This window comes from Homo sapiens, chromosome 22, assembly GCF_000001405.40.
Source record: "Homo sapiens chromosome 22, GRCh38.p14 Primary Assembly".
In the NCBI taxonomy this organism is placed as follows: domain Eukaryota; kingdom Metazoa; phylum Chordata; class Mammalia; order Primates; family Hominidae; genus Homo; species Homo sapiens.
In genome coordinates this window covers 37,378,874-37,402,452 of record NC_000022.11, presented here as the reverse complement: position 1 = coordinate 37,402,452, position 23,579 = coordinate 37,378,874, and the positions used below count along the sequence as shown (strand labels likewise).

The window sequence follows — 23,579 nt, the reverse complement described above, 5'->3', positions numbered from 1 at the left end:
ACCGGGGCCGGGTCACTGCAAGGCGCACGTCTGGTCTGTGTAGGGCAATAGGGTGTGGTGGGCCTGTGGCAAACTCCAGCGGTCAGTTTGGATGGCATCAAAACTCAAATGTGTGTCAACACGGAGTCTGCCAACAAAACCGAACCACAGGCTGCCTTTGGAGCTGCCAGCTTGCCCCGGAAGACAAACTCTACAAATGGATTAACCGGAGGGTATTTAACTCTTCTTTACATAATAGCATGGGCTAACATTTATTGAGGGTTTGCTCTGTGCCAGAGACAACTAAGCACTTTACTTGGATTATCTCCTCTGATCCTCCCAGGAACCCCAAAGCAGGCAGGGTGCAGCTACTGTTCCTACTTCATAGATGAGGCAATTAAACCACAGAGAGGTTAAGTCAGGAGCCCAAGGTCACACAGCTGTGGAGGAGGGAGCAGGGCTCACTCTTGGGCCTTCTGATTCCTTATCTGGGGCTTCTTCCTTCAGCCTCCCTGGGGCAGGTTGAGGCAAGGGCAGACCCCGCAGGCAGGGAAAGATGGAAGACGGAAAAGACAAGCTTTTCCCTTGTCGCCAAGGAGGCTGGGGGCGGGGAGAGGAGAAGCAAAATTAAACAAACGAAGGGTGTTGTGGAGCTGGGGAAGAATAACTTATTTTTTATGGGCTTGTTAACATTTGTGAAGTTAAGTAAGCAGAAATTTATGCCCCTCGTTTGCATGCATTAAAGGGAGGGCTGCCGGGCCGGCTTGGTTACTGGGAAACCTCACGCGCCTCCTAGGGCGGTGGCCCCCAGGCTCGCATTAGGCAGCTCCTGTGCAGGGATGGTTTGTTTGGGCTGTTTCTAGTGATTTCTGCAGGTCCAGCTGGGGCCGTGTTTCCTGAGGGCCCACTGTGTGATTGGCCTACCCTGGCTGCGGCCTCCTCCCTCCCTGCTGGGAGTGGAGCAGCTGGCCTGAATCCCATCACAGTGGCTTGGCCCTTAGTTCACTGGCTGAATGTTCTAGAAACTGTTCCAAGCCTCCTCAGGGACCTGAGAATGTGCAGGAGGCCCCATGACCACCAGCTTTGCTGCCTAAGAGCTGTGAGACCTGAGGCATGTTGCTTTGGCTCTCTGGGCCTCAGTTTCCTCATCTTTAAAATGAGGACAATGATAGTGTTATATATACTGCCCAACTGTGTGTCCCTGTCTTAGACACTGCCCACCTGAGATGACACTGGCTGGTTGGGGAGCTGTGCTCCCTTTGCTAGTTGACCTGCTTTTTGGAGACCCTTTGTCTCCAATAGGCCTGAGAGCTAGGTGACCCTTCCTCTGGAAGACCAGGCAGCCCCACCTGGCCTAGGCCCCACGGCCCCCGCATGTTCCGCTTGTAATTCCTGGTACCCTGTTTGACTGACTCCCTTGGAGCCGTGGGCTTCCTCAGGGCAGTGCCATGTCTGTTGAGGTCATTGCCAGTCCCCTGCACCGTCCCCAGGACTTGGCACAGAGCCAGGACTTGAGAATCGGTATGAAATGAATGACTGAATGAAATACTTAACCTGTGACCGTTTTCGCCACTTAGGGATTACAAGTCCCTTCCAGGTGTGTAGTGATTTATGGGTTTTGAAAGCACTTTCAGGCTAATGCCCTCGTTTGATCTCCACCTTTAGATCCCTCTACAAGAAGGCAAGGCAGGGCCTGTGTCCGGCATGGACTCTCTCACGCTTTTATTTGTTCAAGGAAACTCTTGAACTCCTGTTCTGGGCCGGGTGCTGGGACCCTGGCGGGGAGTGAGGCCATGTCCTTCCCTCCAGGGGCTCAGGGGCTGCTCCCAGCAGGCGTGCCCACCGAGGGTGGGTGGGGAGGCTGAGGGGGCCTTGGGGAGTCCTGGCACCCCTGCAGGCCTCAGGCTCCCATCTGTCTAATGGGTGACAGCGAAGAGGTTTAAGCTCTTCCAATTCTGCCAGGCTGTGATTCTTGGTAGTCAGGTTTGGTCACCAGGCACCTGCTAGGAGGCCCTAAGATGCCAGAATGCCTTTGCCCCAGCCCTGCCCAGGCAGCCCTGGCCCTCCAGGTGGCTGAGGTGCTCCTCAGGCACAGGTGTGTGGGCCTCCGGGGGTGAGGGGAGGGGACAACTGCCCCTGCTGCTACCCCCAGGCCCGTGTCAGTGGGGGCAGCTCTCTGTCCACAGTGGGAGTCGGCCTGTGGACAGAAGGTGAAGTCTGATTGGACCGGAGTGGGGTGGGATGGGGGTAGACACGAGGGGGTGGGTCAGCATCTCTGAGTGGAGTGGAGGGTGGTTGAGGCCCCTGACCTGGGAGGATAATAACCCCGCCTTTCCTTACATTCTTCTCCCTTGCACTCCCTTGCCCCTCCCGGTTTCCTAGGGACCTGCTGCATGGGCTGGGGACGTGGAGGGCTTGGCCTTTGGAGGCAGGGAGGGGGTGGTTGCAGGCCTCACCCTGCAGCAGCCTGGCTTTGGGCAGTTGTTTCCCTTCTCTGTGCCTCAGTTTCCTCCTCTGTCCTTTGCGAATGATGCTGGTTTGAGGGTTCAGTGGGTGCTGAGGAAGCACGTGGTCAAGCTCTGCAAGCCCTTCCTTCTTTCATTTACCAGGAGGAGCAAGGCGGCCATGGCGGGGAGGTGGTGGCTGGAGCAAGTGAGTGAGGTGGGAGGTGAAGAAGTGAAGTCTGGGAAGATTTTGGATACTATTCCAATCTCATGGGAGCCAGCAGCCGGTGAGGGCAGAGGCCGGTGGCCCAGGTGTGCGACGCAGGGGGCTCAGTGGGGGTGGGAGAGGTGGGCTGATGGTCCCCGTGGTCGGTGGAGGTGGGAGAGGTGGGCTGGTGGTCCCCGTGGTCGGTGGAGGTGGGAGAGGTGGGCTGGTGGTCCCCGTGGTCGGTGGAGGTGGGAGAGGTGGGCCGGTGGTCCCCGTGGTCGGTGGAGGTGGGAGAGGTGGGCTGGTGGTCCCCGTGGTCGGTGGAGGTGGGAGAGGTGGGCCGGTGGTCTCCGTGGTCTGATCAACTTGCTTGCTGTGCCTCCAGGCACTCAGGGGTGGCACAGGAGGGAGCATGTTTCCTCAGCAGACAGTTCTCAAGGAGCCAGTATGGGCCTGGGCATGAAAAGAGTCCCTGCCCTCAGGAAGCCCACACAGGGGCAGACTTGCCAGCCAGTCCTTACAGGGTGGCTGAGGCCTGGTGGGCTGGAAGGCTTCCTGTAGGAGGCAGCTTTGAGTCCTGCCTGAGAAGTAGCACTCACTGGGCGGGGATGGGACAGGAGGGTACTCCAGGCCGGGGAATCTCAAGGGGAAAGGCCAAGAGCTGCAAAAAGCCTCTCCGAGTTCAGAGAGGGGTAAGAAGCTCACGTGCCCATCCCTGGGAGTGGGGAGGGAGGATCCAGGAGTCTGGGGAGGACACCAGAGGCCCCTGAGCTCCCTCCGGGCCAGGAAAAGGCTGGACGCTGTGTCTTCCAGCAGCAGGGAGCATGTATGTGTTTGGGAACAGGCCAGGTGGATGCTGTGTTCCAGGAAGGAGCTGGTAGGGGAGCTGAGGAATTACAGGGGGTGTTTCTTGGAGGTGCTGTTCTGGGGTTGGGCTGGAGGTGGGAAGGTGGGTAAGGCAGGAGTGGAAGTAGAGGCCCAAGCAAGGGAGGAGCCTAGGAGATCCCGCACCAGCTGGAGAGGTGTACATGTGTGCACATGTGTGCACACATGACATGTGTAGATGCGTGTGTGTGCACGCCTGCGTGTGTGAAGCGGGGAGCAGTTTGTCTTGATGGTATTGGAGGGCACATTGCAGAGACAGAGCCAAGCCAGATCATGAGGGGCCTAAACTGTGGAGCAGAGGAGCTGGGGAGGCGCCAGAGGCTTTAGAGCAGGGCGGCGATGTGAGTGCGCTGCGGGAGGCTTCCTTGGGCTGCTGTGCAGAGGATGGGCTGAGGCAGGGTAGGCGACAGTCAGTTAGGAGACTGCTGTGCTGGGGGGCTTTACTGGGGTAGGGGGAAGGGGCCGGACAGGAGTGGGGTGGTGGAGCCCAGGGCGGCTCAGTGGAAGAGGTAGCATTTGATGAGAATGTAAAGGGTGAGAGGTTTGCTTTCTGGAAGTGGAAGGAGAGGCACGGCAGGTGGCTGGAACAGTCCCTACGAAGGCTTGCAGGAGGGAGAGGCCAGGCTGGAGGCCAGTATATTCAGGGGCCTTTGAGGAATAAAGGGCAGGTTGGAGTCAAAAAATAATGTTGTTTAGTGAGGCCCTCCATGTGCCCGGCACGGTCTACCCAGGCCTGAGCGCTAGCTCCACCGCCCACAGCTGCCTGGCTCTGGGTAAGGCGTTTGACCCTGGCACCTTCATTGTCTATCAAATGGGGACCCTGTTAGACTCAGCCTCCCAGAGTCACTGTGAGGATTAGATGCAATAATCCACCCGCAGCGTGGCCTGGAAGATGTTCGGCTGTTATTGGCTGTGTCCTTACCGTCTCATTTGACACAGCAACCCTGCAGGGCAGCCTCGCACCCCCAGGGACCAGTGCAGACGTCCGCTCAGAGAAGCTGCGCGGGCTGCCGAGGCCACACAGCTGAGGGGAACCGAGCAAGGGTCTGAGTCCAGGTTATGAGGACCCCAGACTTGGTGTTCTTTCCCGGGTGCCCACAGCCTCCCAGAACGCCTGTAAAATGCCCAGCCCGGTAGCTCGTTCCCCTCCTTGTGCTTAGGAAGCTCCTGGATCCAATGTAAGAAGAAGTGGGCAGGAGACCAATGCCGATCTCTGGGTTCAGGTCGGCTGCTTGCTCTTGGAGCCTCAGTTTCCTCATTTGGAAGTGAGAGCCCCACGTCCCCACATAAGAAGGTCACGCGGGGCTCCCACAAGGCCAGCAGAGTCAGCTGACCTTGGGGTCTAGGCGAGGCTTCCAGCAGGGGCTCTGTCCACGTTCCCCCTCCTTTCCCTGTCCCTCTGCACCCGTCTGACCAGACTGTCCTGTGGGCAGGGCCAGCATGGGAGCCATCGTACTGGACGGCTTCCTGATGGTCACAGCAGCCAGAAGGAGCTGGGAGGCCTGGCTGTCATCAGTCATAATAATGGGCACACTCAGCGTGGGTGGGGGTGAGCGAGTGGAGACGGATGCCAGCTGGGAATTACATGCCTGGGGGCCTATGTTGTTCTTTTGTGTTTTCAATTTTCACTCCCTGGGTGCCTTCTCCATGCCAGGCTTCTCACTGGGGGCACTGAGGGGGCACAGAGGGGCACGCCGTGCTTCCTGGCCCTCTGGAGGGGACACAGTGACCCTTCAGTGGGATGCCACTTGGAGCTGGTGAGCATGGGGGTGCTGTGGAGTGGAGTGGTGAAGCCAGACCAGGGATTCAAGGAAGGCTTCCTGGAGGCGGTGATGCCCGAGCTGAAGCTGGTAGGAGTTCACCGTGTTGGTGGTCACCCACCAAGAAGGAGCTTAGGCTCTAGCCCTGGGGCTGCAGGGAGCCCTAGAAAGATTTTGAGCAGGAGAGACAGCATCAGAGCTGCCCTCCGGAAGCCTCCCTCTGCCTGGAAAAAAAGGAGATCCCTGTGAGTGATAGGCAAGTGATGATAGTGGCCTGTCCTGGCATGGACTTGGAGGCTGGTCTGATCTTCATCTTCCAGTGGGAGAGGCAGGAGTTGACGGGAAAGCTGGGATCTGGGCCTGAGCAAGCAGGCAGGCAGTGGTGACCATGACCGAGCGCGATCTGAGCAGCCAGGGGCATGCATGAAGCCACCCTGGAGGAGAGGGCAGACGAGGGTGCCACAGGCCAAGGACAGAGCCTGGAGGAGCAGCAGTGGTTAGTGGGTCGGGGCAGGAAGGGGGCGCCTGGAAGGGAAGGGGGCGTGGCTGGGAGGCCGTAGGGCTCAAGGCTCTTGTCCTCTCTGGGTTCAGTTTCCTCACCTGCTGCATGACAGGGGCCTGGGTAGTGCTAAGGGATCTGCCAGCTCTGACCTCCTTCAAAGTGCCCCAGAGGGTCTGAAAGTAGATGGCACAAGGTGTGCCCGCTGGGGGATCCTGGCACCCAAGCAGCTCTGCTCCTGGGGTTTGGAAATGAGTGCGCTAACAGAGTTGGCTTCTGCAGCATTTGCTGAGCCTCTTCTGCACGCTGGCCCCATGTTGGGGGCCGGGGACATGGTGGGGACACAGCCCTCGTCCCACCCTTGGGGTGTGCAATACAGAAGCACCTAGAAAGCCAGGAGTGTTAGCTCACTTTCAGCAAACCCAATCTGAAAATTCAAGCTTTTGATGGGGAATTGGAGGCTGATACTTAGTTTATAAAATAATTCACAGGAAGCTTTCTTTAAATAGCAAAGTCTCTGGCGCATTTGTCCGTCTGTGAGTTCCTGGCTTGTCTTTGTGTTTTCCACGGTGTGCCTGAAATCCTAGGCTAGGTGCTCATCGGATGTGGAATGTCTGGTTAGCTGGATGCAGCCCCTTCCGGGGGTCTCCAGCCCTCCGGTGGTAGCGGGTCCTCAGAGGTGCTGAGCCTCCCACTTAACCACCAGCTTCGGGTATCTGGGGGCTCAGCTGTGTCCGTGACCCTTCTTCTGGCTTCCTGTTGGGTCTGTGGTGCTTGTGCTGACAGCAGACAGGGACCTGCACCCTGCTTGTCCCCTGAGCCCTGAACAGGTGGCTCCCTGCCCCTCCCACCCTGGGCCTCCCTTGGTGATGCCCTGCACGCCAGACACTAGTTTTGCAGGTCTTTGCAGCCCACGGTGCCAAGCCCAGGACCTGGTGTGTGGTGGGCCCCTGGGTGCACGGATATTGTGCCAGTGCTGACAGGACCCCCAGGTTGTCTTGTCCACATCCCCTGCCCCCCGTGGGTGAGGAAGCCAAGGCCCAGGTAGAGAAGGACTTTGCTCAGCTCCTGGCTGCCACAGAGCCAGCCAAGGGGTGCCTCTCTCCCTAGAGTGCCCCTGACAGCAGAGGAGGCTGGGAAGGAGATCTGGGCAGAGCTAGAGGGGACAACACCTTGGTGTGTCTCAGGCCCTGCCACTTCTTAGCTGTGTGCCTTTGGGAAGTGGCTTCACTGCTCTGGGCCTGATCCCTCGTGTCTCAGATGGGTAGAATAACAGTGCCCGTCTCCCAGGGCCGTGGAGGGGTTTTCATGAAGTGATTGATGTAAATGCCTACTTGGGTCTGGCGTGTGGTCGGCACTCGATTGATGCTCCTTGACTACTTCTAGGACGTTTCTTCTGGTGCTGGAACCAGGCACAGGCAGAGCCAGGTTTGAATCCCAGCCTCACCACTTACCAGCTGTGACGCTGTGAGGCCACTTTGTCTTTCTGAGCCTCCGTTTTCTCATCTGAGAAATTAATCCAACAATATTTATTTATTTATTTATTTATTTATTTATTTATTTATTTATTTTTGAGACAGAGTCTCACTCTGTCACCCAGGCTGGAGTGCAGTGGCGTGATCTTGGCCCACTGCAACCTCTGCCTCCTGGGTTCAAGTGATTCTCCTGCCTCTCAGCCTCCCGAGTAGCTGGGACTACAGGCGTGTGCCCCCTTTCCCAGCTAATTTTTGTATTTTTAGTAGAGACGGGGTTTCGCTATGTTGGCCAGGCTGGTCTCGAACTCCTGACCTCGTGATCCGCCCGCCTCGGCCTCCTAAAGTGTTGGGATTACAGGCGTGAGCCATTGCGCCTGGCCTGACGATCTTTATCTTGACACCCTGTAAGGTCGGGGGTTGGTGTTGAGTTTGCGGCAGCCAACCCAGTGCTCAGTCCCAGGCGAGGAGTGAAGAGTTCTTCATTTACAGCGTATGAGGCACTGTTGACAGTCACCACGGCCCGTAGGATGAAATTGCTGTCTGCACTCGATGGGGGCATTCCTTTAAGCTGCGGGATCGCTCTGCCTACTGTGTGCCGGGGCGGGAGCTGCGGGGGAGGACTCACGGTGCTGGCCACTGCGGCCCCCTGACGGTCCACGGGGGCTGGACACTCACCAAGGAGTCATCCTGGGAGAGGTGAGGCTGCCCGGGAGGAGGGCGGGAGGGAGCCTGGAACAGGCGGCCGGGCCAGGCCCCTGAGGGGCCTTGACCTTCAGGAGGACGTCTGGCTTTAGCCTGGGAACTGTGGAAGCGGCTGAAAGGGTATTAAGAAAGAGGCCTCGGTGAGTCCATAAAAGACAGCACCCGAGCCGAGCAGAGGGAGGGGAGGACCTTGGGGCACACTAGAGACCCTGGGAGGTGGGTGCTGCCATCCAGACAAGCTTGGACGGAGGGGCGGCAGCAGACACACAGGTGTGTGGCCTGGAGAGGTGTCGAGGTGGATGGGAAATGAGAGACGAGGGAGAGGGTGGAGTCAGACATAATTTGGATGATGAGACTGAGGCACAGAGAGTTTCAGTAAGGGGCCCACAGTCACACAGCCAGTGGGGCCAGGAGCAAAGGCTCCATCCCTGCATCTGTACGAGGTGGCAGCTGGGCCTGTGGACATCAGTCGCAGCCTGGTGTGCATGTTAGGTGGAGGTGGCAGGCGGGTCAGAGCCAGCAGGAGTGATGCTGGCGGTGGCATCATCACGCTTCATTTGCAGTGCTCCTTAGCGCCAGGCATAATGGAGATGGATTGGGGCATCTGCCAGCGAATGGGGGACCCGTTCCGTGTCGCCTGCAGCTCCATTAGGCAGAGATCGGGCCTATAAAGGAAGAGCTTGGGAAGAAGGTGCTGGAAGGAGCCAGGGCAAGAGGGTGGCCGAGTGCTGGGGCCTCCTGTTGGCACATGTGATGGGGACGCTCTGGGGACCCCGAGTCAGCGAGGCCTGGGTGCAGAGCCAGCTCCAGCCTGGCTTAGGGAGATGACTTGACCTCACTGGCCTCAGCTTTCCTATCTGTTAAGTGGAGGTTGATCTGAGGATGGGACCATATGGGACTTAGCGCAAGGCCTGGGGCGTGGTCCAGGCTCAGGAAGTGCTGGGTGCTGTTATTATTACTGTTGTCCTCATCGATACTGTTGTGTGGCAGTTGGAGTCCGGCAACTGGTGGGGGGTGTCAGTTGTCCTCTCTGATTTGGGACGTGTCATGGTCTGCCAGGCCCAAGCCAAGTTAGCCCGGAGATGCTGCCCTCAGGATGATGGGCCAGTGCCAGGACCTGAGGCCCACTGACTGCAAAGCCCAGGCCCAGGCCCAGGTGCGAGTGGAGGCTGTTGATGGGGGAGCATAAGGAAACCTCCAGAGAGGATCGGCTTCCATTCTGGGGAGGGATTACGTGAGTCCAAGAAAAGACACGCAGAGAAAGGACAAAGGATGAGACAGGGCCACCTTGACGAGGCCAGGTGGTGGTCAGAGACCATCCTTTGCCTGATTTTACCAGGTAAACATACAGGAGGCTCAGAGAGGGTGAGGGCCTGGCTCAAGGTCACACAGCAGCTGTCACTGGGAGCAGGCCTGCTAGCCCCGGGGCCTGGGCGCTGTCCCCCTCTGTGAAAGAGGGGTTTGATCATTTATCAGGGGAGTTTAATAATGAACGAAGTTGAAGTGTCTTTAATGCAGGCAGCAGGCCTGAAGTAATAAGGGACCCTGTATTAATTGAGAAGTTAATGAATATGCAGGTGTGTCTGAATGATTAATGGGGCTCCTGAAGGCCTTGGAAAGGGGTGCGTGAGCTGCTGCTGATGGAAATATGAATATTACATACATCTGGGAAGTCGGATAAACCAGGGAACAGATGGGCATTAACCAACCAGAGGTCTCTAGCAGCCACTGAGAGTGGAATATACAGATATGTGGGGGCAAATATACAGTGGCGTGGGGAGCACGCTCACTTTCTTGCAATGTGATCTTGAGGATGTCACTTAATCTCTGAGAGCCTTACTTCCCTTATCTGCAGAACGGGCATAAAAATAATACCTGGTTCTGGCCGGGCGCGGTGGCTTACACCTGTAATCCCAGCACTTTGGGAGGCCAAGGCGGGTGGATCACGAGGTCAGGAGATCGAGACCATCCTGGCTAACATGGTGAAACCCTGTCTCTACTAAAAATACACAAAAATTAGCTGGGTGTGGTGGCGGGCGCCTCTAGTCCCAGCTACTCAGGAGGCTGAGGCAGGAGAATTGCTTGAATCTGGGAGGCGGAGGTTGCAGCGAGCCCAGATTGCGCCACTGCACTCCAGCCTGGGCGACAGAGTGAGACTCTGTCTCAAAAAAAAAAAAAAAAAGAGAATCCAACAAACAAACAAACAAAAAACACAACAAAAAACTGGTTCCTAGGATCCTGAGGATGAAATGTGAGAGAATCCCTTAACAAGGGTGGGCTCACTGTGAGCATCTCACAAACACAGGTGAGCCTTTTTAGAGACGGGGGCAGAGAAGTGGTTGAGGAGGGCCAAGGAAAGTCTAACGGTAGCAGTTAAATTCCCTTAAGATGGACGGTGCTTCTGTTGCACTGACAGCAAGAAGGAAGAACAAAGATGAATGGCACTTTACAGTTTTTAAAGGGGAGTTGCCCGTGGGTTATCCTTTTCCTCCTCCTTGCAGCAGGTGCGTGGGGCAGAGGAGATGGGTCTTGGGGAAACTGAGGCTCTGAGGGGGCCGGTCACTGCCCATGTCACCCAGCCACGCGAGGGCCAGTTGGGCTCAGGCCCAGGTCTGCACCCCTTCCTCCTGAGTCTCAGAGGATGTGGGACCCACGCACTGCCTGGGAAGGCCCTTTCCAATATTTGCCAGGCCTGGGGCTGGGCACAGGTCATTTCTCAGAGCCTCAGTTTCTCTCCCTGTCATGTAAGGGTCTGTCTGCCGTTTGGGGTTGTTTTGAGGCTCTGATGAGGAAGTGGGACACTGTCCCTTCACCTATGCCTGGCCTTCGGGGAGTCCCAGACACCGTCCCTTTGATGGTCAGACTGCTGTATCAGCTGGACTTGTATCTGGGGAGTCATGGGTGCTGAGCCACTTTAGCTGTGGGCTCTTGGGCATGTCTCTTATCATTTCTCAGCCTCAGTTCCCTCATCCTTCAAGCAGGCATGACAGTGTGGCTGCCATGTGTGAAGTGTGCGGGGGCCTGGCACACAGCGGGTGCCGGCGCGGTGTGCTCCTCTGTTCCTGGGCCTGTGTCATGGCCCTGTGCGTGGTGGCTCTCTTGTGTTCCCAGGGTGATTTTCAGCCGTGGACGTGTACAGAGAGCCTACTGGGACGGTGCCGGGCCCTGGGTTTACAGGGTGAGTGAGACTGTCCACACTTGGTCTTTGTCCTCTATGAGGCTGTGGTCCAGGCAGAAGGTGGATGTAAAACCAGTGTCCCTGTCATGCGACCTGGGATGGGGGTCGGGAGCCAGAGGATGGCCCCCACGCAGCCTTGGGCGGATAGGGAAAGAGATGCCCATTCATCTCCCTGTCATCCCCACCAGAGCCCCAACCAGAAGGCCTGGCTTTGGCTGTGGGTCCTCCACTTGCGGGAGGCCGTGCTCACAGCATGGCTGTTTGAATGGAGAGAGAGGGAATGAATGAATGGCTGGCTTCTAGGCTCCTTTCTCTGCCTCTTGTCAGCTCCAGGCTGGTGAGCAGAGGCATAGTCTAGCCCCTCGCTTGACTGTCTCAGGTATCCGGGGTGATCCTGTTGTACATCCTTCTCTTCTCCCAGGTCTCTGCCTGGGCCTCCAGGGCCTCCCCCTGGGCCAGCCTGGCTGGGGTCAGAAAACTGTGTGTTGCTGGGTAAAGAACCTTCTGGCAGTCATGGTCATGGAGCAGCCTGCTGTTGACAAGCAAGGAAACCGAGGCCCAGAAGGGAGAGGGGTGGCGGGAGGGGGCAGGGCTGGGGTTAGAACCTCTGTCTTGGCTGTGCCAGGTTGGCCGCCCTGCAGTGACCAGCCTGCCCGTGTATTTATAGTCTCTACTGATCTATATTAACACCCAGGCCTGCCCAGGCCTTTGCAGCTGCGGATCTGAGGATGCCTTTGAACCCTCTGGGGGGCTGTGGAATCAGAGCTCACCCCCATGGGGAGGGGAGAATGCGGCTTCTCACCCTTCCCTTCACAGCTCTGGGGCTCACGCTGGGCCCTTTGCCTGCAGAATCTTTGCCAGCCTGGGTAAGGTTTGGGCCACCCTTTGGTGGGTTCAGCTTCTTCATCTGGGGTTCATTATCACTCCTTGCTTCCCTCTGGCTTGGCAGGGAGGCCGTGTGTACAGCATGAGATCAATGCATGGGCTGTGTGGCCTTGGGCAAGCCAGGCCCCTCTCCAAGCCTCAGTCTCCTCATCTGTAGAATGGGCATCATTCGCACCCGACTCTCCTGTGTCAGGCGCTGGGCACTCCATGCTTGTGAGCTGGGGTTTACTGTTTACACTCCTCACATCTCTCTGGTCCTCATCACAAGCAGTCCTCAGAGCCTGGAGGGACCGGAGTGTCATCTCCATTTGACAGATGAGGCCAGTGAGGCCCTGCCGCAGTGTGACTTACCAGAGCCATGCAGCCTGTTGGGGCAGAATTCGGACTCATCTAAGTCTGAATGTTCCAGCTTCCCAGGCCCCCTCCCCAGGGCCCGTGGGCTCCTTGGGGCAGGCCAGGTTCCTCACCCCACCAGCTTGGTTCCCACCCCCCTGGTCTTGGGGAGAGCTCCACTAACTCTATGCTTTTCTTACAGAGCAGAGACGACTGGCCGCCCTGAGCGCAATTCAATTCAACAGACATTTACTGAGTGCCTACTATGCGCCAGGCCTTAGGCTGGGCACTGGGGGAGGGGCGCAGACAGGAAGATGGGGTCCTGTCCTCAGGTAGCTCCAGGCAGGGGAGGGGGCATGGAGAAGACAGGCAAGGGCTAAACAGCTCAGCACCAGGAGAGAAGCTGCTTGGTGGGCTGGATGCAGCAGAGACCCGGGTTCAAGTGCATCACTGGAGAGCTGCTGTTCCTCGTCCGCACCTCAGTTTCCCCTACTTGTAAAATGGGGGAGATGATCTCTAGGACCCATCCAGGATTCCAAGGGCTATACCTCGGGGTTGTGGGGGCATAGCAGGGGGGTCACCCTGCAGAAGGGAGATCTCCAAAGGCTTCTCAGAGGAGGAGGCATAAGGTCTCGGCCCAGGGGATGGGGACAGGTGGGAATGGGTCCCAGGGTTAGTACCAGCTAATCGCTGGTGAGTAACGGCCTGGTGGATATGGGTGTGGGCGTGCCCTCAATTCCATAGGGTTGCGAGGGGACATGGTGGGGTGTGAGCTTAGAGAGGGAGAGAGGGGTTCTAGGGCCACAGGTTGGGTTGTGAGCTCTATTCTGGGGCCAGTGGGAGCCATTGTGGGCTGTTGAGGGAGAGTCAGGAACAGCTGGTCCTGCTCTGTCTCACCCTCTTCTCTCTCCCTCTCTGGGGCACACTTCAGGATCACATTCCCATAGAACCTTGCAGCCATGTGGCCTTGGCAGCACCTGCACTGTGCCAGGCACTGTGTACATTAGTCCTCATTGTGGCCCCAATTGACAGAGGAGGACGCCAAGCTCTGAGAGGAAGCTCTTGCCCAAGGTCATAATCTGACTCCCAAGCCCCGCATGCTTCTCCCACTACCTCCCCCTGAAAGAGTTCCTATTCTCTGTGACCTCTCCCATCCTGGGGACGCCCCCCACGAAGCCCCGGGGAGTGCCTGCCAAGGGCAATGCAGTTGGATTTGGAGGGTGAGGTCAGGAAAATCCCAGATGTTAGCAGGACTGGCTTTCTCCAAGACCTGAGTTTCTGCCCTATCAGCCACCCTCTGGGATAGAGAGTGAGGCGGGGCTCCTTCCCACTTTACAGATGAGAAGACTGAGGCCCTGAGAGTCATGTGGCTAGTCCAAGGTCAAACTCAAGGGAGTGACAGCCTAGGCTAGAAGCTGGTCTCTTTATTGCCCAACTGAGGCTGGAGGGAGGCTGAAGTCCCCTGAGATCTGTGCAAAAGCTGACCCCTCCCCGACTTCCCCAGGGAGCAGAAGAGCCCAGAAGAGCACTGGAGTCACAGACCTGGTTCAAATCCTGGTTTTGTCTTTTGCATGAACTGTGTGATCTGAGCAAGTCATGAATTACTTGGAGCCTCGATTTCCTTATCTATATGAGGGCGGCGAGCTGGCCTCCTTCACTCAGCCATGAACAAATATTTATTGAGCACCTACTAGGAGAAGCAGGACCCTTCCTCGGGGAACTCAGTCCAGAGGTAGCAGCAGCAGTTATGATTCCGGTTGTGATGGAGGAAGCACAGGGGGCTGTGGGAACCCACAGGAGAGACCCCGGCCAGGTTGGAAGAAGGCAGGCAGGTAGGAGGGCAGAACAGGCAGCGGCTCCCACAAGACCATGTGGGCTGGGCTCTGGATGCTGTTGGAATTTTCCCAGATCAGCCCGAGCCAACGAAGACTTTTCAGCAGGGAGTGCCATGCTCAGGTTGATGTTCTAGAAAGTTCATCTTCTGCTGGGTGGAGGGGGCATGGAGTGGGGAGGTAGGGTTGGAGGTAGAGAGACCAGCAGGAGCAGTAGGGGGAGGCGGCGGCACCAAGGCGGGACTAGGGGCAGGTGGGGAGGTGTGGGTGCCTCTCACTGTGTCTGGGAACTGGGAGAGAAGCAGGGGAGGAGGGGGAAGGGGCCGTGGGAGATGAGTCCAGCCGTGGAGGTGGACATGGACGAGTGAGTTTCAGGTGCCAGGGAAGGGCCCCGGAGGCAGCTGGGTACGGTGGTTTGGGTGTGGTCAGCCCAGAGCTGACATTAGAAGCCTTGGGAAGGGTTGAAGGGCTCTTGGGGTAGGGGAGGGGGAAGCGGGTTTGAGAGAGGCAGTGAGCAGGGACCAGGACATCAGGGGAGGCCACTGCTTGGCTTACAAGCAGAGGAGCCCGAGGGGCCGCGGCCTGGGAGGTCGCGGGAAAGCAAAGCTGCAGGTCCCCAGCCCAGGAAGAAGGTGGCAGGACTTAGGTCTGTGGGGAGATTTCAGAAGGCGACATGTCAGGCGCTGTGCCTGGCACCAGCGCGGACGAGGTGCCCAGGAGGGTCAGCTCCTGCATCTTTTCACCTGAAGGCAGAAGCTTAGTCTGTCCCTTACCCTCCTGAGGAGGACGAGGAGGCTACAGAGGGGGAAGGTGTCAGGGAAGGAGGAAAAGGGGAAAAACATTTGCATGCATGACAAGGCTGAAGTGAGGGAGAGAGAAGGGGGGAGAAAGAGGAAAATAAATTACCATACACCAGGATCTTGTTATTCAAGCTAATTTTCAAAGGACCACAGCTGTCACGCTGAGATAATTCGTTAATTATAACAGCCATTGTGCTTTGGCGCTGGGAGAGAAACCGAGGCCGGGGAACAGGCTGAAGGTGGGGGTGGGAGCAGGCTATTGGGGGGCCTGGACATCAGAGAGGGGACAGGGACAGAGGCAAAGAGGGGTGTGTTGCCCTCGGGACTGAAAGGAAGACAGGCCAGGCCCCATCCTTCCTCACTGTCATGGTTGCGGTGGGTAATGAGGTCCTCCTGCCTGCCTGGCGTGTGCCACGGTGCCACGCGCCAGACCCTCACAGCGATACCTGCAGGAGGCAGCTTCCTGGAGCTGTGACCCTGCCCAGACCCTGGCCTGTGGCCATCCCCCTCCACGGCCCTCTGAGCTGGTGCCCTTCTTGTCCCACTTTACAGAAGAGGAAACCGAGACCCAGGACAGATTAGCTTGCCAGGACCACGGGGTGAGGTGGCATAGCCTGGATTCGAGCTGAATGTGGACCCTGCGCTTTGGCAGCACGTTAGGGAGGGCCGGTCTTGGTGGACTGGCCACGCGGAGTTGGTGGCCACAGCAGCTGTCACATAGATAGCCTCACGTTTGGGCTGTGGTTTCTGCCCAGCCGGCGGCCCTCCCCGGGGAGTTTCCGGGGCTCGATGTCGACCCCTCTGCACCGACAGAGCCTCCTTGTTCTCTGCTGCTGCAGCTGCAGGCCCCCCGTAGCCTCAGAGGCGGCCGTCAGTGTGGGCTGGACCCTCCCACCTCCTCTGGAGAAAGCTGGTCTCAGGGCCAGGGGGAGGGAATTTGGGCCACCCCAGCTGGTGTCCATACTGACCCCTTGCGATCGCCTGGTTAGAGGTTCTGAAGCGACAGAAGCTGAATGGGCTGTGGCCTCAGGAGGGGTTTCTCAGCCTGGGCCTAGAGGGCTCCAGGACCCTGGGTGCTGGGCCATGCTAGGGACAGGGGGCTGGGGGCGTAGCAGGCAGGTGTCCCAGTCCTAGGTGAGCAGAGTGAGGGAGTCCATGGGGAGAGGGGTGGGACCAAGGAGCCATTCCAGAAACCCCAGGGCCCCTTGGTGAGCTGTGGTGTGGCTTCAGGAACTCAGGTCTCCTGGTGTCCACAGTGGCCATGCTTGGAAACAGCACCTAGGCTAGGCCAGCTGGCAGTGTTCTGTGGGGTGGGAATAATGTTTGGGAGAGGGTAACCCTCAAACCCCAGTAGGAGTCCCAAACTTGACCCAGGCAGGAGAGAAGTGGGCCCCACAAGGTGACAGGTGGGCCTGGGGTGGCTGTGTGGGAACTCCCTTGGTTGGGGACCTCTCCCCAGTGGGGCCGCATGGAGCCAAGGGGAAGCTGTCAGAGGGTCAGGACAGCTTAAAGTCCTGTAGAATTGGTGACCCACAGAGGCCAAGACACAGGAGACTTTTAGGACCAAATAAATGGTAGATACATCCTAGAATCCTTGAGCCCCAGACTCATAACTGGAGACCTCCCTCCCTAAATGACCGATCCATGCTGTTAGTATCCTGGTACTAAAACCCAGGAGCCATGGGTCAGGAGGATAGGGGAGGGGGGCTCGAGGTCAGGCAGGGGTCAAGTACAGGAGGCAGGGATCGGGGCACCCTTGGGTCCCAGGCTGAGAGGCTCATAGGAATACCCCTGACAGGCTGGGTTTCTACGTGTCCCCACTCTGGGGTTCCCCCCTTGTTGCTGGCCTCATAAACTCCAGTGTGCAGGGGTCAGCTGGCCACCTAAACCAGAGAGGCAGGGAGGAGGTTGGATGCTGCCCCGGCCTGTGCCACTGCTGTGCCTCCGGGGACGCAGACCCAGGGAAGCCAGATCTTCCCTGTATCTCAGTGGATTCCAGAAATGAGGATTTTTGAAATAAAATCTGCCAAGTTTTCAATATTGGCAACTGATTAAAAAAATGTGAAAACCACCATCCAGATGAAACAGGATCCCACAGCAGCTCTTGAACGGAGCCTGGGGCCGTGGAGGCTGGAAGCCACTGTGTAGCAGTTGTGAGGCCTCAGTTTCCTCATCTGCAAAGTGGGAATAGTGATAGTGCTTTTAAGATGTTTAAAGTTGGCTCAGGATTAAATGAGTTAATATGGGAAGTGCGGAGGCCCAGCCAGTGCAAGCACTGAAGACTTTTCATCTTGTCGGAGGCCGCCCATCCCTCCCCGGGCTACCTCTCAGGGGGCTTCGCTGTCCGACACTGGAGCCTCCATTTCCCCCTTGCGGTCCCCACATGCACTGCCCCTGTCTTGGGACAGCCCTGAGGGTACTGGAGGGCAGGGAAGCGTTCGCCCCTTGGGACCCTGGGGGAGGAGCAGGTGGAGGAGGCAGAGCCAGGAGGGCGGGCCTAGCCGGCGCCTGGTACATAGTAGGTGCTCCATAAATGTTTATTGAATGAATGAATGGAGGCCATGCAGGCAGAGGCAGCCGTGCTGCGCAGGCACTGGTGAAAGAGCGGGTCCAGTGGACACTGGTGAGTAGTGCCCAGGGGCTGCAGCTGAGGGGGCCAGCAGGGGCCGGGGGGAGGCGAAGGTCAGGTCGGGAGAGGGCAGGGGTCAGGAGTGGGAATTGGGGTCAGGTGGGGAGAGGGCAGGGGTTGGGAGTGGGAAGCGGGGTCAGGTGGGGAGAGGGCAGGGGTTGGGAGTGGGAAGCGGGGTCAGGTGGGGAGAGGCCAGGGGTCGGGTGGGGAGAAGGTAGGGGTCAGGTGGGGGAGGCAGGGTCAGGTGGGGGAGGCAAGGGCAAGTGGGGAGTGGCTAGAGGTCGTGGGGGGTGGGGAGGTGGGGTCAAATGGGATGAGGCCAGGGGTCAGGTTGGGAAGGTGGGATCAGGTGTGGGAGGCACAGTCCATGGGGGAGGTGGGATCCAGGGGAGGAGAGGTAAAGGCCAGGTTGGGGAGAGAAGGGGTGAGGGAGGCAGTCTCCTGAGTAGCTTGGAGGATTCTGGGAAAGCCAGGAGGTGGGTTTTTAATACAGGTCATCCTTGGCTGTGGGACAATCCTATCCCCAGGTGCCTGGTGGTGGGTGGGCTGGGGTGGGGGTTTGCCAGGGAGTGGGCCCTGCTCACGGGCCATGTGGTTACAGCTGCCCCTAGAACCAGGCTCAGGTGTCTCCTGTCAGGCCACAGGGTGGTTTGCCAAGGCCAAGACCTTTGGTAAAACCTTCCACCCCCTGCCTCTCTCCTTCCACCAAGGCCTGGACATGGAGTAGGTAGTAAAGATGACTGTGGCACCCTGTGAGCAGGGGAGGCACGGGGACCGGGTGAGCCATGGGGGGGTGACACGGTGGGCAGGTGACAGGGCTTTGGGGTGGCCCCAGCAAACCAGAGACACATGTGTACTGTGGTTTTCCTCCAAACAGATGAGGAAACTGAGGCCCAGGGAAATGAGGTGCTGACTTGCCCGAGGTCACACTGCGGCTCAGCGGCCCAGCCCCATGCCCCTTCTTTGGCTGAGGTTACACCTGGAGATGCGCGTCCAAAGCACCAAGGCCTTGCAGAGACCCTGACGCCTTGGCTGTCAGCTGTTGGTGCTGTGTGGTTCTTGTTAAGCTCTTTTGAGTAAGAAGGCAGCTTAGTGAAGGGGAGGCAAATCTGTCTGTCCCAGGGCCAGGGGCATAGTAGGTGTTCAGGGAATACATGTGGAACGCGTAAGCAACGTGGGTGGGTGTGCGGCTGCTTGGGCAGCATGCCTCACCCAGCCCAGGGCTGAACTGCAGGCAGGGCCCCTAGCCTGGGCCCGGTCCCTGTTTCCCTGTGACACAGATGCAGTCATGGCCTGCTCACCCAGTGCAGGATGACACAGAGCCCGGAGCAGGTGCCAAAGCAGTGAGGGGCAGGAGCCAGCTCCCCCGGGACCCAGAGCAGCTGGTGTGCAGGGCTGAGACTAACAAGACATGATTGAATGGGGGTGGACGAACACCCAGCACCTCAGAAGAGACCTAAACAGATACTGCCCAGAGCTGCCCGTGGACCTTGTGAGGGCACCAGGGCTGCCTGGCCGTGTGTGTGAAGGGGCCTAGAGGTTTGGTTGACATCTAGGACAAGGTGAGGACAGGACGCTGGTGCCTCCTTACTCTCACCGCATGAACAGAAGCAGGGAGCCCAGCCGAGGGAGGTGGAGGCTTCTGGAGCTGATCCTGCTCTGAACGCATCGGCACTGGTGCTTGGCTCCAGGCGACACGTTGTAAGAGGGACCTTGACAGCAAGCATGACCCGGGCAGCTGTACCCAAGGGCAGGAGGGACTTGACACCACAGCGAAGGAAGAGCAGGTAGAGGACGTGGTGCTGTTTAGCTTGGATAAGCAGAGTGATAACAGACCAGGAGATGTCAGAAGGGTCTTTATGGGGTACTGGCCTCGTCCCTAGTGGCTCCAGAGAGCAAGGTGGCACCCATGAACAGAAGCACAAGGAACCAGACTTGGCTTTGTAATAGAAGAAGAAATTTCTAGTAATCAGAGCTGTTCAAGAAGGGAATCAGGGCCAGGTACGGTGGCTGGGTGTAATCCCAGCACTTTGGTAGTCGTGGGCGGGTGGATCGCTTGAGCTGAGGAGTTCAAGACCAGCCTGGGCAACGTGGTGAAACCCCATCTCTACCAAAAATACAAAACAATTAGCTGGGCGTCGTGGCATGCGCCTATGGTCCCAGCTACTTGGGAGGCTGAGACACGAGAATTGCTTGAGCCCTAGAGGCAGAGGTTGCAGTGAGCCGAGATCGTGCCACTGCACTCCAGCCTGGGTGACAGAGCTAGCTAGAGTCTGTTTTTAAAAAAAAAAAAAAAAAAAAAGGCCAGCGTGGTGGCTCACGCCTATAATCCCAGTACTTTGGGAGGCCGAGGCGGGCGGATCACAAGGTCAAGAGATGGAGACCATCCTGGCCAACGTGGTGAAACCCCGTCTCTACTAAAAATACAAAAATTAGCTGGGCGTGGCGGCATGCACCTGTAGTCCCAGCTACTCAGGAGGCTGAGGCAGGAGAATCACTTGAACCTGGGAGGCAGAGGCGGCAGTGAGCAAAGAAAAGGAAAAAAAAAAGGAGAACCAGTAGCTTTAGGTGGGCGCTGAGAGCCCTGTTACTGGAGGTCTGCAGGTGACGGGACATCGTCTTCCAGGGAGGAGCCTTGGAAAGTCTGCTGGTTCCACTAGCTCAGGCTGGCCTGGGTTCTTGGCTGTGTGGTCTTGGGTGCATCACTGCACCTCTCTGAGTTTCAGTTCCTTGCCTGTAAAATGGGAGGCATAAGGACGGCCGTGAAACTAAAAGGAAGGCTCGGCACATTTTGTGCCCCATCATGAGCACCCCATCACAGGGGGGGCTTCTCCCTCTGATATTGAAGATTCTTTTTTTTTTTTTTTTTTTTTTTTTTTTTTTTTTTTGAGACGGAGTCTCACTCTGTCGCCCAGGCTGGAGTGCAGAGGCGCGATCTCGGCTCACTGCACGCTCCGCCTCCCGGGTTCATGCCATTTTCCTGCCTCAGCCTCCGGAGTAGCTGGGACTGACTCAGCCGAGTCAGGGGATCCAGGATCTCCCCACCATCCCTAGCCTGGAGCTCTCACTCCACACAGCATGTCCTGAGAACCCGCTGTACGTCTGACCCTGTTCTAGGCATGGGGGTTACAGCAGTGAACAAAGTTAAATCCTGCTTTGCTTTTCTGCTGGGGGTGGGGCAAGGCAGGGCGATGATGAAGAATTAAGTGACGTCAGGTAGTGCTGGCTGCTGTCAGGGGACCGAAGCCTGGGTTGGGTGAGGAGTGAGTTATCTCAGACTGGGGGGCTAGAGAAGGTGGGGGTCAGGGGCAGGGAGTGGTTGAGCAGAGATCTCAGGTGGATTATGGGGATTCTGGGGGAAGAACATTCCAGGCAGAGAGAAGAGCAAAGGTCCTGGGGTGGGGAGTGTGCCTAGGGGTTTGAGGAGCACAGCTGGCCTGGAATCAGTACTTCCTGATTGATGGAAACATCGAAATCTCTCGAGGCTTGTGGACAACTCCCCCTTGCACGCTTTCCTCTGACAGGGGCAGAAAACCCAGTAGACTGGCTCAGTGCATGTCCCGCCCCTGCCATGGTCCCAGCCCTTTGGAGGGAAGCCGGGGAGGAGAGAGCCTCTGTCTTCTCATCTGTAAGATGAGGCTGACAGCACCAGCTGTGTGGGGTTGATATAAGATTCGAGGAACATCAAATGTCAGACACAAAGGAGCATTGGATAAGGGGTATATGACTGTCTTAGAGGCCAGGAGACTGAAGCCCAGAGGAGTTAGGTAATGTGCCTGATGTCACACAGCTCAGCATTCAATCCCAGGACCCTTCCCCGCACCATCTATGCCCTGCAGTAAGGGCTCATTGTGCTGGAAATCCAAAAAGTTAACTTACCGAACGGTAGTTCCATGGTGAAGGTATAATCCTCCCATTTTACAGACAAGGAACTGAGGCCCAGGGAGCTCCATGACAAGGGAGCTCCAAGGAGCTCTAGGCAGTGAAAAGACTGGTGTTCAGACCCCCGGCTTGAGTCTCTTCCCCGGGGGGTGGCAGGCTTTGTCCCTGAGGGCAGAGTTCCTGTCCTGGTGCTAGGGTTCCAGCAGCAAGGGGTGAGGCAGCTGCCTACCTGAGAGATCTGGCTGGGCCCCAGGAGTCCTTGGTCCTCCTAATCCTCAGTAATGGCAATGACACGGATGGTGACAATGACACCTCCGGGAGCCTTGGCCAGCCTGGCTCAGGGAAGAGCCTGTGCCAGGGCTTATGAGCTGCTGCAAATGAGATTTCCCTGGCCGAGCCTCACGTCCCTGCTCCTGGGAGGCCAGGACACAGACTGCGCTTCCCCCCACCTGCTCCTGGAGCTGACGGGTGTCCCTGCAAGAGTGTGGCCACACAAGCGGGAGCCTGGGGTGGTGTGTTTGTGGGGCCTCCTGCCCTGGACTGAGCGTGTGTGTCTCTGTCATGTCTGGGATTTCGGGGGAACTCTGGAGCTGGGTGGTACTCACCTTGCCACACGGGGAGAAACAGGCTCGGAGAGGGCCTGCAGCTTACCTGGGTCTCAGAGCTGGTTGGGCCTGCATCTTCCCTGCTGACCTCCGCTGCCTGCGTCCCCAGCTGGCCTCGCTCTGTTCACCCTCTCACCCAGCCTGGGGAGTTAGCCCAACCCCCCTCAACCCCTCCCACACGCCGCAGTGCAGTGGGGGCTCTCCCCGGGTCCGGGGTCCAGACGCTCCCCTGACAGGGAAGCTTGGGAGTCAGCCTATAGCGGGGGGCTGAGAGGATGTGACCCGGAGGTTCAGCAAGCCTGAGTCCAGGGGAACCCTGATCTTGGGTGATGAGGGTTGTGAAGAAATAACTATAAAACCCCCATTAACAACAGCGGCTGTCATTCACAGAGGCCAGGCGCTGTGCCAGGCTTGCCCTCCGAGGGGGGGCAGGGGTGGGACTGAGCCAGGACTCCTTGTCTTCTCAGTTCTGAGTCCAGAGAGGGGCCCGGGACCTAGGAGCACCCGGGCGGAAAGGGCACAAACCCAGCGGGATCACTGGGCAGCTGACTAACCGGAGAGGGGAGGCATTTGCTGAGAGTGACTTTGGGGTCTGTGGTCCTGCCCAGCTCTGAACTGAGACCCCTGCACCACCAGCTCTGCCCTCAGAGCAGCAAGTGCTGTGAGGTCTCACTGACTCTCCTCTCTGCCCATGAATGTCCCCATGAGAGGGGACGTCCTACAGCATGCAGCCTGCAGACCGGGAGCCCCCGATAACAGCATGCACCCTGGCTGTGCAGCTGTTTCTTCTGTGGTGGAAGGAGAGAGTGCCCCTTAAAGAGAGCTGGTGGTGGGGCACTTGGGGCCTGAAGGGAGAAAAGCTCTAGGGGAGGGGTCCAGTCAGGCCAGGGCACGGGAGCCCTGCTCTTTGCTGGAACATGCCACCCCCCAATGCCTGCTTGCCTGCATGGCTGCACCCCTCCTGGGCTGTGCCACCGGGCTCTGGGCAGAAGAGGCCTCTGCGCCCCACAGCTGCTTCCACTGCTCCCCTCTCCCTCTGGGCTGGTCACAGGCTGCATTCTCGTGGTTCAGCCAGACCAGGTGTCAATTGTCTCCCGGGCCTCTGGGCTGCGGGAGGGAAGCAGGTGCCCGTGTCCCCTGCGCCCCCCATCTATCATCTAGATAGCTCACTGCCGTCGGTGCCTCTGTCTCAGACGCGCTTTCTCCTTTTCTCTCCTCCTCTGTCTGTCTGCTCGGCTGTCTTGATATTTTTGCTTTTCCACCATTCTCAGTCCTCACCTCCTCCCTGCAGCACCCCCTTCTTCCCGTCTCTCACCACCTGGGTATGTGGGGTGCTGCCCTGTCCCCCCTGCTGTGTGTGTGGGAGGACCACCCTCATGGGAGTAGGGGAGGGGCATGACCTTGGCCATGTGACCGCTGGACCCTTAGCCTCAGACCTGAGAGGACAGGCTGCTGCCCCCACCCCCCACACCTTGAGTGCGTG

At 58.0% G+C, this 23,579-nt stretch overlaps 1 protein-coding gene and 1 long non-coding RNA gene across 3 annotated transcripts in view, besides 1 other annotated feature; one reads left to right on the top strand and one right to left on the bottom strand.

The window, feature by feature from the left end:
* ELFN2 (extracellular leucine rich repeat and fibronectin type III domain containing 2) overlaps positions 1-23,579 on the top strand; it is an 86,836-nt gene that overhangs the window by 25,027 nt on the left and 38,230 nt on the right. The gene's annotated exons all lie outside the window — the stretch shown is intronic.
* Positions 15,877-16,415: an enhancer, noted in NCBI's record as "H3K4me1 hESC enhancer chr22:37782078-37782616 (GRCh37/hg19 assembly coordinates)". NCBI's record gives its function as "activates a minimal SCP1, AML or CMV promoter by ChIP-STARR-seq in naive H9 embryonic stem cells {active_cell/tissue: H9 hESC(naive)}" and the evidence as "EXISTENCE:reporter gene assay evidence [ECO:0000049][PMID:30033119]".
* LOC124905114 (uncharacterized) lies at positions 20,094-22,221 on the bottom strand. The gene is made up of 3 exons (XR_007068094.1): positions 22,143-22,221; positions 21,489-21,584; positions 20,094-20,343 (listed from the first exon to the last, which is right to left on the bottom strand). It is a non-coding gene; the product is annotated as an uncharacterized LOC124905114 (long non-coding RNA).